This window comes from Homo sapiens, chromosome 1 (genome assembly GCF_000001405.40).
Source record: "Homo sapiens chromosome 1, GRCh38.p14 Primary Assembly".
Lineage (NCBI taxonomy): Eukaryota > Metazoa > Chordata > Mammalia > Primates > Hominidae > Homo > Homo sapiens.
Genome location: NC_000001.11, coordinates 10,239,179 through 10,251,473, shown reverse-complemented (window position 1 = coordinate 10,251,473; position 12,295 = coordinate 10,239,179). Strand labels below are relative to the sequence as shown.

The 12,295-nt window shown below is 42.5% G+C and overlaps 1 protein-coding gene across 5 annotated transcripts in view, besides 2 other annotated features; it reads right to left on the bottom strand.

The window, feature by feature from the left end:
• Nucleotides 1–12,295, bottom strand: part of KIF1B (kinesin family member 1B) — a 171,034-nt gene that overhangs the window by 130,130 nt on the left and 28,609 nt on the right. The gene's annotated exons all lie outside the window — the stretch shown is intronic.
• Nucleotides 6,354–6,853: an enhancer, noted in NCBI's record as "H3K4me1 hESC enhancer chr1:10304679-10305178 (GRCh37/hg19 assembly coordinates)". NCBI's record gives its function as "activates a minimal SCP1, AML or CMV promoter by ChIP-STARR-seq in naive H9 embryonic stem cells {active_cell/tissue: H9 hESC(naive)}" and the evidence as "EXISTENCE:reporter gene assay evidence [ECO:0000049][PMID:30033119]".
• Nucleotides 6,854–7,355: an enhancer, noted in NCBI's record as "H3K4me1 hESC enhancer chr1:10304177-10304678 (GRCh37/hg19 assembly coordinates)". NCBI's record gives its function as "activates a minimal SCP1, AML or CMV promoter by ChIP-STARR-seq in naive H9 embryonic stem cells {active_cell/tissue: H9 hESC(naive)}" and the evidence as "EXISTENCE:reporter gene assay evidence [ECO:0000049][PMID:30033119]".

Below are 12,295 nucleotides of genomic sequence, written 5' to 3'. Positions count from 1 at the left end.
GGTGAGCCACCGCGCCCAGCCAATAAAGCTTTTAAGCCATATTTCACTCAGCCTTTTAGCTACCAATTCTACCAAGAATGACTGAAAGACTACTCAGATTTTATCGCTTTGTTCTCTTTTCCTTAGTAAAAAAAAAAAAAAAGAAAGGAAAAACTACACCAATGAGTTAACTTCCTCAATTCACATGAAATCCTTTTCCTCTTCTTCAATATTCCTTTCTCCCAGACTTTTAAAGCTTCTGAAACTAATAGATTTTCCTAACTTATATCTTCAAAACCAAGCTGCTTTTATTTTATTTATTTATTTTTTTGAGACAGTCTAGCTCAGCTGCCCAGGCTGGAGTGCAGTGGCACGATCTCGGCTCACTGCAACCGCTGTCTCCTAGGTTCAAGCGATTCTCCTGTCTCAGCCTCCCCAGTAGCTAGGATTACAGGCACCCGCCATCATGCCTGGCTGATTTTTGTATTTTACTAGAGACAGGGTTTCACCATGTTGGCCAGGCTGGCCTTGAACAGGATCCTTACCTCAGGTGATCCACCCGCCTCGGCATCCCAAATTGCTAGGATTACACGTGTGAGCCACTGCACCCGCCCCCAAGCTGCTTTTAGAATAACTGCTTCTATCAACAACTAATCCATTTGTTTTCCCCAGACAGCGTCACGGTCTGTCACCCAGGCTGGAGTACAGTGGCTCAATCATGGCTTACTGCAGCCTGCAACTCCTGGGCTCAAGTGAACCTCTCACCTCTGCCTCCCAAGTAATTGGGCCTATAGGTGTGCACTACCATGCCAAGCCAAATTTTAATTTTTTTTGCAGAGATGGGGCTTTGCCATGTTGCCTAGGCTGGACTGAGACTCTTGGCTCAAGCAATCCTCTTTCCTTGCCCTCCCAAAGTCATGGGCTACCATGCCTGGCTTAATATTCTAAACATATGAAAGAACAATTTAAAAATACTGTATTTACAAAAATTAGCTGGGCGTGGTGGTGGGCACCTGTAACCCCAGCTACTTGGGAGGCTGAGGCAAGAGATCTGCTTGAAACCAGAAGGCAGAGGTTGCAATGACCTGAGATTGCACCACTGCACCCCACCCTGGGCAACAGAGCGAGGCTCCGTTTCAAAAAAAAAAAAAAAGTTAAGAAATACTGTATTTAGGTGTTTTTTACGACCTTGGGTATGACTGCACGTCTGTGTCGTCTCTAAAATTGAGGTAATACCTAGTTTACAGAATTAAAGGAGTGAAACACTTACACATACGTTAATTTTTCTTAAATACGTATTTTACCCTGTTTTAAACTCTCAATATTCAGTAGGTATGATAATATTCCATTTGATCTTTAAACCAAGGTAAGAAAAACACACCAGGCCCAGGTTCAGTGGCTCATGCCTGTAATCTCAACACTTTAGGAGGCCAAGGTGGGAGGATCATCTGAGCCTACGCGTTCGAGACTAGCCTGGGCAACATAGTGAGACCCCATCTCCACAAAAAATAAAAAGCAACAACAAAAAAAGAAAAGTTCACTAACTGATAAACTAAAGCACAATGTAAGAATTCTGTTTCTTTTCTCTTTTAGAGACAGGGTCTTGCTCTGTCGCCCTAGGCTGGAGTGCAGTGGTGAGATTACAGCTCACGCATCCTCAGCCTCCTGGGCTCAAGTGATCCTCCCACCTCAGCCTCCTGAGTGACTGGGACCACAGGCACGTGCCACCATGCACGGCTAATTTGTTTATTTTTTTGTAGAGACAGGGTCTCCCTAGGTTGCTCCAGCTGGTCTCGAACTCCTGGGCTGAAGCAATTCTCCTGTTTTGGCCTCCCAAAGTGCTAGGATTACAAGTGTGGGCCACTGGACCCAGCCAAGAGCCTATTTCTTGCCAACAGTCAAAGTACGACATTCAAGTCCTTACTTAAATGTGTCAACAAATCTCTGATGCTCCCCCAACATCATATATCCTCAAAGTGCTTGGACCATGTCTTATGGATCCTCTATACTGCCCTATACCAAGGACTCAAATGAATGCCCTCCATGTGTCATGTACAACTCTGATTAAATTCCATTTTCAAGAGCATAAAAAGAAAAACAGTGTATAGCTGTGCAATATATACATAAAATACCAGTAGATTTTACTAACATTCACAGAAAAAAAAAAGAGGATTGTACTACTGAAAGACTGGGCATAATTAACACAGCAGTTCTTGTATCAAGGTCAACTGAGCTAAAATAGTGTGTTGGACTTCTAATTTGTTTCACAGAAACCATGCACATAAAAACAGAATTACAGTAATTAAGGAACACATTCAACATATAAACCATATTTTCACCCACAAGCTGTTACGAATTTAGTACCCACCCCCAGGGTCACATGGAATCAGCACGTAGGCTTTGTCTAGGACAAGTCGCCACTTTTCCTGCAAAGAATGGACTCCAGGAATATTTTTGAGGACTAGTGTCAGAAAATAACTCTTTTAAAAGTATTATAGACTTCATATTGTTTTACTTCCTATAATCCACCTTTTCAAGCTGCTTTTCAAGGCCTCTTTTACAGCTTCTGTGCCTGAGGTCTTTTCTTCAATCTAGGTTGCTCTGGACACACAGCATACTCCAGACCTGGACCCTACAAGCAACATTCCACAGATGATCTGGGAGCCATCTTTGGCTTTTTTCTTTCATCCTCCACATCTGATGTATCCTATCAGTTCTACTTTCCAAATATGGCTTCTCCCCACCACCATCGTGACCACCCTGGTTCAACCACCACTTCTCTCACTTGGATGACTGTAATAACTCCAGTTATTACCAGATGACAGAACACATCAACCACGGCAGCATGTTTGGGAACTTTGCTCTCCATTTGTATAACATAAAGACTCCCATGAGAACGACATCTTTCATCATCAGAAATCGATGAGTCCCAGTATCTGGTGTTGCAGGGGCAGCAAGAGAGATGGGTCCATTCATACATCAAAAGATTATGTCAGCTGAGCACAGTAGCTCACACTTGTAATCTCAGCACTTTGGGAGGCTGAGGTAGGAGGATCACTTGAGCCCAGGAGTTTGAGACCAGCCTGGGCAACATAATGAGGTCTTATCTCTACTAAAAATACAAAAAATTAGCCAAGTATGGTAGCGTGCGCCTGTAGTCCCAGTTATTCAGGAAGCTGAGGCAGAAAGATCATTTGCACCCAGGAAGTTGAAGCTACAGTGAGCCGTTACTGCACCACCACACTCCATCCAGCCTGGGCAACATAACGAGACCCTGTCTCAACAACAACAACAACAACAACAAAATTGACCCAATATTCAATGATCAAAAGGTAAAGTGACCTTAAAAATATTTCTAGAAGACATTTTCAAAGATTTTACCGATGAAGTAGAATGCTGTAGAGCAGGGGGCCCCACCCCTGGGCCAGAGACCGGTACTGTCCATGGCCTATTAGGAACCAGGCCACACAGGAGGAGGTGAGCAACAGGCGAGCATCTGTCAGATCAGTGGCGGCATCAGATTCTCATACCAGCATGAATCCTATTGTGAACTGCACATGTGAGGGATCTAGGTTGCCCGCTCCTTATGAGAATCTAACTAATGTCTGATGATCTGAGATGGAACGGTTTCATCCCGAAACCATACACTTCCACCCCCGTCTGTGGAAAAATTATCTTCCACAAAACCGGTCCCTGGTGCCAAAAAGGTTGGGGACCACTGCTGTAGAGGCTTTAATGTGATCCCACTCTAAGTATCCAACATTACCCTAGGTCCATCTATAAGCATGTAATAAACTCTGTAAGCCTTAATTTTTAATTTTCTTATCTGTAATATGGGCATATTAATAATAGTGCCTAACTATACAGAACTGTCATTTAATTCTCACATTTTGGCTCAAGGCCTAGCATAAAGTAAATGTACAAAATATTCTTTCATTTAACAAATACTTGCATGTCTACCATGACCTATAGATACCTAGTGAAAACAAGTCCCTGCCTACATGGAGCTTACATTCTAATGACAGCATGAGACAATTAACTAATACAAATAGCATAATGTTGGAAAGAAAAATAAAGCCGGGTTAGGAGATAAAAGATCACAGTGAAAGTGGTAGAAGTGGCTATTTTAGATAAAAGCAAACAAGCTGCCACCTCTGAGGAGATATCTGAGCAGGAATCTGAATGAAATTTAAGGAACAGCAAGACCAGCAGTATAGCCAGGTGGGCAAACAATGATCAAATGTGAAATCAGATAGCTAGCCAGAGGCCAAATTCTGTGAGGCTGTGTGGCCAAAGTGAGGATTTTTAGTTTTATTCTAAAAGTGATAAGGACTGGTCGCAGTGGTTCACACCTGTAATCCTAGCACTTTGGGAGGCCTAGGTGGACATATTGCTTGAGCTCAGGAGTTCGATACCAGCCTGGCCAACATGGCAAAACCCTGTCTCTACTAAAAATACAAAAATTAGCTGGGTGTGGTAGCACGCACCTGTAGTCCCAGCTATTTGGGAGGCTGAGACACGAGAACAGCTTGAACCTGGGAGGCAGAGGCTGCAAGTGTGACTAGATCATGCCACTGCACTCCAGCCTGGGCGACAGAGGCTCTGACTCTGACTACAAAAAAAATTTAAAATTACATTAAAATGAAATAAATGTGACAGGAAACCAGTGAAGAATTTTAAGCAGAGGGGTGACATGATCTGATTGCAAAGGGGTGACATAATCTGATTTATATTTCTTTTTTTTCTTTGAGACAGAGTCTCACTCTGTCGCCCAGCAGGCTAGAGTGCAGTGGCACGATCTCAGCTCACTGCAAACTTCGCCTCCCAGGTTCAAGCGATCCTCCTGCCTCGGCTTCCTGAGTAGCTGGGACTATGGGCGTGCACCACCATGCCCGGCTAATTTCTGTATTTTTAGTAGAGACGGGGTTTCACCACGTTGGCCAGGCTGGTCTCCAACTCTTGACCTCGTGATCCGCCCACCTCGGCCTCCCAAAGTGCTGGGATTACAGGCGTGAGCCACCACACCCAGCCCTGATGTATATTTCTAAAATATGACTGGCTACTGCATGGAAACAAGGGCAAAAGCAGAGAGACAGGAGGCTATTGCAGTACTTATCTTGACTAGAGTAGAAATGGCAAAAAGTAACTGATTCAGGATATATTGTGAAGGCAAAGATGGCAAGACTTACTGATTGATATATGTGGCCTATGAGAAAAACGGAGAAGGTAAGAATGACTCCAATATTTTTGGTCTAGGCAACTAAAAGAATTGATAAAAATAAAGGAGGAGCCACTCTGGGTGGTCAGGAAGGGAAAAAACAATAGTTATGTTTAGGACATGTTGAGTTTGAGATGCTTCTGTGGCCTTCAAGTAGAGTTCAGTTGGCAGCTGGGTAGCCAAGTCTATACTTCTAGAGAGAGGTCCAGGCTACAGAAGTGAATCTGGGAGTTATCACCATCTCAATGACATTTAAGCCCCCAGAACTAGAAGAAATCATCTAGGGCGTCTCTCTTTTCTGGAGAGAGAGATCTGAGGACAAAAGCCTGGTGGACTTTAACCGAAGGAGGTAAAGAATAACCAACCTGGGAGGAAGGAAGGCAATTAGGAGAGTATGGGGTACTAAGAGCCAAGAAAATGAACTGTTTGAAGTAGTCAGTCACGTTATATTCCCTACCTTTATTACAATGATTATCATCATAACCACTTACAGGACTCTCTAGAAGAATGAGTTCAGGCTATCTCCTGATTTCCCCAATAACTTGCTCTGCTCACTCTCACCTCCAGGCCTTGCCTCTTGGTTACCATCCAAATCCCATGAGGTTTCAAGGCTGTTTTCCTAAATTTTCCTTCATAAATCTAAAAGGCAGCTTTAACATCTAAGACCTAAATGTATTTTTTTCCAAGTCCAAAGGAAAAATGATCCTTCCTTTATCCTCTCCATACAACTTTTGTATCTTTTCCCTTTTGTCTTCAGGTTTTTTATTCCTAATGGTGTAGCCAACACTAACCTTAGGAGAGCTGGAGAAGGGCAGGACACTATAATTTCCATAAAGGCTGACTTGAAGACTTTTATCCAAGATAAACGTAAATGCTATCAAAATGACTATCACAAAATGTTTCAAAGGTCTTAGTTTACTGATGAACCACAACTGACCATCTTCTCTTTCTTGAAGAAGTTTCAAGTTAAGACTTAAGACAGTCTACTAAATTCCCTAATTTTACCCCCTTTTCTCCCTGCCTTATTCACAACTTTGCTACTTTAGCATAAAGATGCAGAAATAACACTTTAATTACTGAGCCCTAGAAAATAAGGCAGTCAAAACAAGATTAGTATTTAAACGCCTTTTAATTCCCCAGAATAAATTTATCTAATATCTCAGTGTCTAGTAATTATACTGTTGTTGGCAAACTACTAAAGATTTTGCCTGCAACTATAATTGATGTTATCTGTGTGGCAACACTGTAACTTTATATTAACTTTAGTAACCAAGCACGTTTAGGGCTTGTTAAAAATCCCAGTGACATCTTCAGCACAATCTTCCGCTCTAAAAGCCTCCTAGAGCAACAATTAAGAAAAATGGCGGCCGGGCGCGGTGGCTCATGCCTGTAATCCCAGTCCTTTGGGAGGCCGAGGCGGGCGGATCACGAAGTCAGGAGATTGAGACCATCCTGGCTAAAACAGTGAAACCCCGTCTCTACTAAAAATACAAAAAATTAGCCAGGCGTGGTGGTGGGCGCCTGTAGTCCCAGCTACTCGGGAGGCCGAGGCAGGAGAATGGCGTGAACCCGGGAGGCGGAGCTTGCAGTGAGCAGAGATCACGCCACTGCACTCCAGCCTGGGCGACAGAGCAAGACTCCGTCTCAAAAAAAAAAAAAAAGGAGGGCCGGGCGCGGTGGCTCAGGCCTGTAATCCCAGCACTTTGGGAGGCTGAGGCGGGCGGATCACCTGAGGTCAGAAGTTCGAGACCAGCCTCAAGATGGGGAAACCCTGTCTCTACTAAAAATACAAAAATTAGCCGGGCGTAGTAGTGCATGCCTGTAAGCCTAGCTACTTGGTAGGCTGAGGCAGGAGAATTGCTTGAACCTGGGAGGCGGAGGTTGCGGTGAGCCGAGATCGGGCCATTGCACTCCAGCCTGGGCAACAAGAGCGAAACTCCATCTCAAAAAAAAAAAAAAAAGAAAAGAAAAAAAAGAAAAATGGCACACAATAAAAATATTTTATACACTGCTTATATTTTAAAACCATAAAACCAAAACCCACAGGCAACTCGCTCCCCTCCTCACAATATAGAAACATAGTAAAACCTATTGCCATAAAGATTTGAGCAAAAGATCTATAATCATAAAGTTCCTTAATCATTTACAACAAATTTAGTTTCCCATTTTTTTATAAAACAGGGATAAATGTACTATACATATTCACTGTATACTTGATCCCAGAGTATTAAAAAACAAATATACAATAGGAAAATAGGAAAAAAATTATAACTCTTCTATAAAACATGTTACTTAGCATACACATTGAATAAACAATCAACAATTCTGCTCTTCCTAAGCAAATTTTGAATGATTCTAAAGAGATATGATTTGCAAGGCCTAGATTTCACTCTACCTAAAATGCCCAAAGACATGTAAACTGATAATCATCTGCCCCTTCCCCGCAGCTTTTTCCTCATAATTTCCCTCCATCAAGAAAATAAATCAAAATAAATTTTAATCTAAGTTAAATTCAAATTAAGCATAGACATTCAGCATTACTGCACAGAATAGTAAAACTTAATAAATATTGTGAGAGGTGATATGCTCTCCAATAGTAAGGGTTCTGGAGACAGCCCAACTTCATTTTCTACTTCCCTCAATTAATAGATATGTGAGCCCAGGCAAGACAGCCAATAATACCTCTTTGTATCAATTCCTTCATCTGTGAAATGGGGAAAGAGTACCTGCCATATAATTATTGCAAGGATTCAGTAAGTTAAAATCTGCCTAATTGTGCCTGGCACAACTTAAGCGTTTGTTGTTTTTAATTACTAATTATGGTATTTTTTCCCCCCACTAAAAGGCAATTGTTTTTTGAGACGCAGTCTTGTTCTGTCACCCAGGCTGGAGTGCAGTGGCACGAACTTGGCTCACTGCAACCTCTGCCTCCCAGGTTTAAGCGTTCTTCCCACCTCAGCCTCCCGAGTAGCTAGGATCACAGGCATGTGCCACTAGGCCCAGCTAATTTTTTTGTATTTTTAGTAGAGACGGGGCTTCACCATGTTGGCCAGTCTGGTCTCGAACTCCTGAGCTCAAGTGATTCACCCGCCTCAGCCTCCCAAAGTGCAGGGATTACAGGCGTGAGCCACCACACCTGGCCTAAAAGGAATTGTAAAATCTCCCATTTTGCCTCCTCAAGTTTATTCACAGCTAAAGGAACACGTGTCAGTAACAGACCGGAACAATGTGGTGTGGAAAGAGTAAGTTTAGTTAAATCATTTCCTCACTGTGTTGCTTCTGATACTTCCGGCCCCACAGTTTTCTGGTAAGCCAAAACCAAAAGGGCTTCTCAGACATTACCTACCTTTCCCTGCCATCCTTCTCAATTACAAGTCATGCACCACATAACAACCTGTCCATCAGCGGGCTGCATACATGAAGGTCCACATATATGAGTGGTCCCATAAGATTATATTAATAGGCCAGGCGCAGTGGTTCACGCCTGTAATCCCAGCACTTTGGGAGGCTGAGGCGGGCAGATCACGAGGTCAGGAGTTTGAGACCAGCCTGGCCAACATGGTGAAACCCTGTCACTACTAAAAATACAAAAATTAGCTGGGCATGGTGGTGGGCATCTGTAATCCCAGCTACTTGGGAGGCTTAGGCAGGAGAATTGTTTGAACCCAGGAGGCGGAGGTTGCAGCGAGCCAAGATTGCACCATTGCACTCCAGCCTGGGTGACAGGGCAAGACTCCGTCTAAAAAAAAGATTATATTAATAATATCGTATTGTTACTATCATATTTGTACCCTTTCTATGGTTAGATATGTTTAGATCCACAAATACCACCAATGTCTTACAATTTCCTACAGTATTCAGTACAGTAACATGCCATTCAGGTTTACAGCCTAGGAGCAACAGGCTATACCACAGAGCCTACGTATGGAGTAGGCTACGCCCTGTAGGTTTGTGTAAGTACACTCCATGCTGTTTGCACAACAAAATCACCTACCGACACATTTCTCAACGCATGACTGTATTTAGACGCCCTTTCTCGGTGCTCTCCTAATAGTCATCACATTGCTTTGATTATTTATCTCTATCTAAGACAATGCTAAAATCTCTCTGAAAGCTTTGACACCTAGGCTTGCTGAATAACAAAAACCTAATTTCCTATAGGTGCTCTCAAAAACCTAACTTCGTATTTCTTATTCTTATCACCTGTATGTATGTACAAGGCATTCATCCCTAAACACCACAACTAAGAACAGCTTTCACCTATACAATGCACATTCCTTGATAAACAGGTACTACCGAAAACTGAACTATGAATGCCCACTTTGTCTGACATAGAGACAGAAGTAGCATCCCTTTCACGGTCTTGTGAACTGCATTCCAGACTTTGCTAGCTGCCATTACACCACTTCGCACTTCACTAGGCAACTACCAAAAGCAATCACCACCACGATATTGGCTAGACTTTTAAAAATGAACTCCAAAACACCTCTTGAGAGTTGCAAAGAAGGCATTAAAAAAAAAATTGGGCATGGTTGCTTTCTCCTATGAGAAACCAACAAATGCATATATAAAGGCAGCACAAAGTTTACTTTGGATTTTAATTATGACAATCTCAAAGACTACAACAACAACATGCAAAGCACAAAGAAAGAGGACGTTTCCACCAAGATGATTTTTTCCAGTACTTCTCTTAGCCATTTTGATGTGAAAAATATTTATTTAGGTAAAGAAGCTTATTAAATTATATCATGTAATAAAAAGAAACTCCGAATACACAATAGCAAAAACTGCCTCCAACTTAGTGATAGGTTCAGTTATTTCTGCCTTTAAACTTATATTCCCACTGAAAATTTAGACACTAAAACTAACCACAGGCTTGGCATGGTGGCTCATGCGTGTAATCCTAGCACTTTGGGAGGCTGAGGCAGGAGGATCCCTTCAGCCCAGGAGTTCAAGACCAGCCTGGGCAATATAGTGAGACTCCATCGCTCCAAAAAAATTAAAAATTAGCTGGGTGTGGTGGCTGTAGCCCCAGCTACTAGGGGAGTGAGGTAGGCGGATCACTTGGCCCCAGGAGGTTGAGGCTGCAGTGGGTCATGATTGTGCCACTGTATTCAGTCTGCGCAACAGAGCAAGACCTCGTCTCACACACACACACAAAACTAACCACAAGAACAACTTACATAATTTTTAAAATAGTATGCTATATAGTATACATGATTTCATTTGATCCTCACAACCTGAGACAGCAGACTGGGAAGGCATCAGCAATATTTCCACTCAATAAATGAAGAACCTAAGGCTCAAGTGTCTGATAACAGAGGATGAATATAAATGAAGTATGGTTCATAAATAGAATACAATATTAAGCAGCTACTGAAATCATGTTCTTGAGGAATATTTAAGAAATGAGGGCCAGGTGTGGTGGTTCACACTTGTAATACCAGCATTTTAGGAAGCCAAGGTAGGAGGATTACTTGGGGCCAGGAATTCAAGACCAGCCTGGGCAACAAAGTGAGAACTCTGTCTCTACCAAAAAAAAAAAAAAAAAAAAATGAACTACCCATAAATTCTTAAATCCATTCAATCCATTTTTATATTGATTTTTCATGTTATTGAAAGTAATGGATATATCACAAGAAGAAAACAATATTTAAGGTAATTTCCATAACATCTTCTAGCCATCCAACTCTATGCAATCCCCTTTCTGCACTCTGAGTGCTATTTACGATGGCACTTCTAGATCACTATGGAATTAAAAATGGTTCAGGCCGGGTGTGGTGGCTCATGGCTTTAATCCCAGCACTTTGGGAGGACAAGACAGGTGGATTACTTGAGGTCAGGAGTTTGAGACCAGACTGGCCAACATGGTGAAACCCCACCTCTACTAAACATACAAAATTAGCCAGGTATGGTGGCACCCACCTGTAGTCCCAGCTACTTGGGAGGCTGAGGCAGGAGAATCACTTGAACCTGGGAGGCAGAGGTTGCAGTGAGCTCAGATCGCACCACTGCACTCCAGCCTGGGCAACAAAGTGAGACTCCGCCTCATAAATAAATAAATAAATAAGGTTTGGCAGGGTGTGGTGGCTCACGCCTATAATCCCAGCACTTTGGGAGGCTGAGGCGGGCGGATCACGAGGTCAGGAGTTCAAGACCAGCCTGGCCAATACGGGGAAACCCTGTCTCTGCCAAAAATACAAAAATTAGCAGCTAGGCATGGTGGCTTATGCCTGTAATCCCAACACTTTGGGAGGCCGAGGCAGGCTGATCACGAGGTCAGGAGACCAAGACCATCTTGGCTAACACGGTGAAACCCCATCTCTACTAAAAATACAAAAAAATTAGCCAGGCATGGTGGCGGGTGCTTGTAGTCCCAGCTACTCGGGAGGCTGAGGCAGGAGAATGGCATGAACCCAGGAGGCAGAGCTTGCAGTGAGCCAAGATTGCGCCACTGCACTCCAGCCTGGGTGACAGAGCAAGACTCCATCTCAAAAAAAAATTAGCCAGGCATGGTGGTGGGCGCCTGTAGTCTTCACTACTCTGGAGTCTGAGGCAGGAGAATCCCTTGAAGCCGGGAGGCAGAGGTTGCAGTGAGCCGAGACTGTGCCACTGCACTCCAGCCTGGGCTACAGAGCAAGACTCCGTCTCAAAAAAATAATAATAATAAAATAAAATAAAAAATAAAAATGAAAACGGTTCAATATCTAGGAACACATTTGTGTTCCAACATTGGTCCTGAATATTAAAGCATATAATTACACTTTTAAAAAAACCAACAAAACTAGTTGTAATATACCCATATTACAAAATTTCAAAAGTTGTATAGAAAAATAGTAACATTAAAAATATTAGAAAATAATTTGTTCAGCAGCAATAGAATAGAAAAATCAGAAAATAAAAAAAGCAAACCAAAAAACAGTACATATAATCCAATTACATAAAAATCTTAATATGTGTAAAATGCAAGGAAAAGATTAGAGGAATACAGATCCAGATGTTAATGGTAGTTCTCTCTGCGTGGTGACATTGGAAATAATTTTGCTTGTGTCTGTATTCATCAAAACTGAAAGAACGGGCAGATCACTTGAGCCCAAG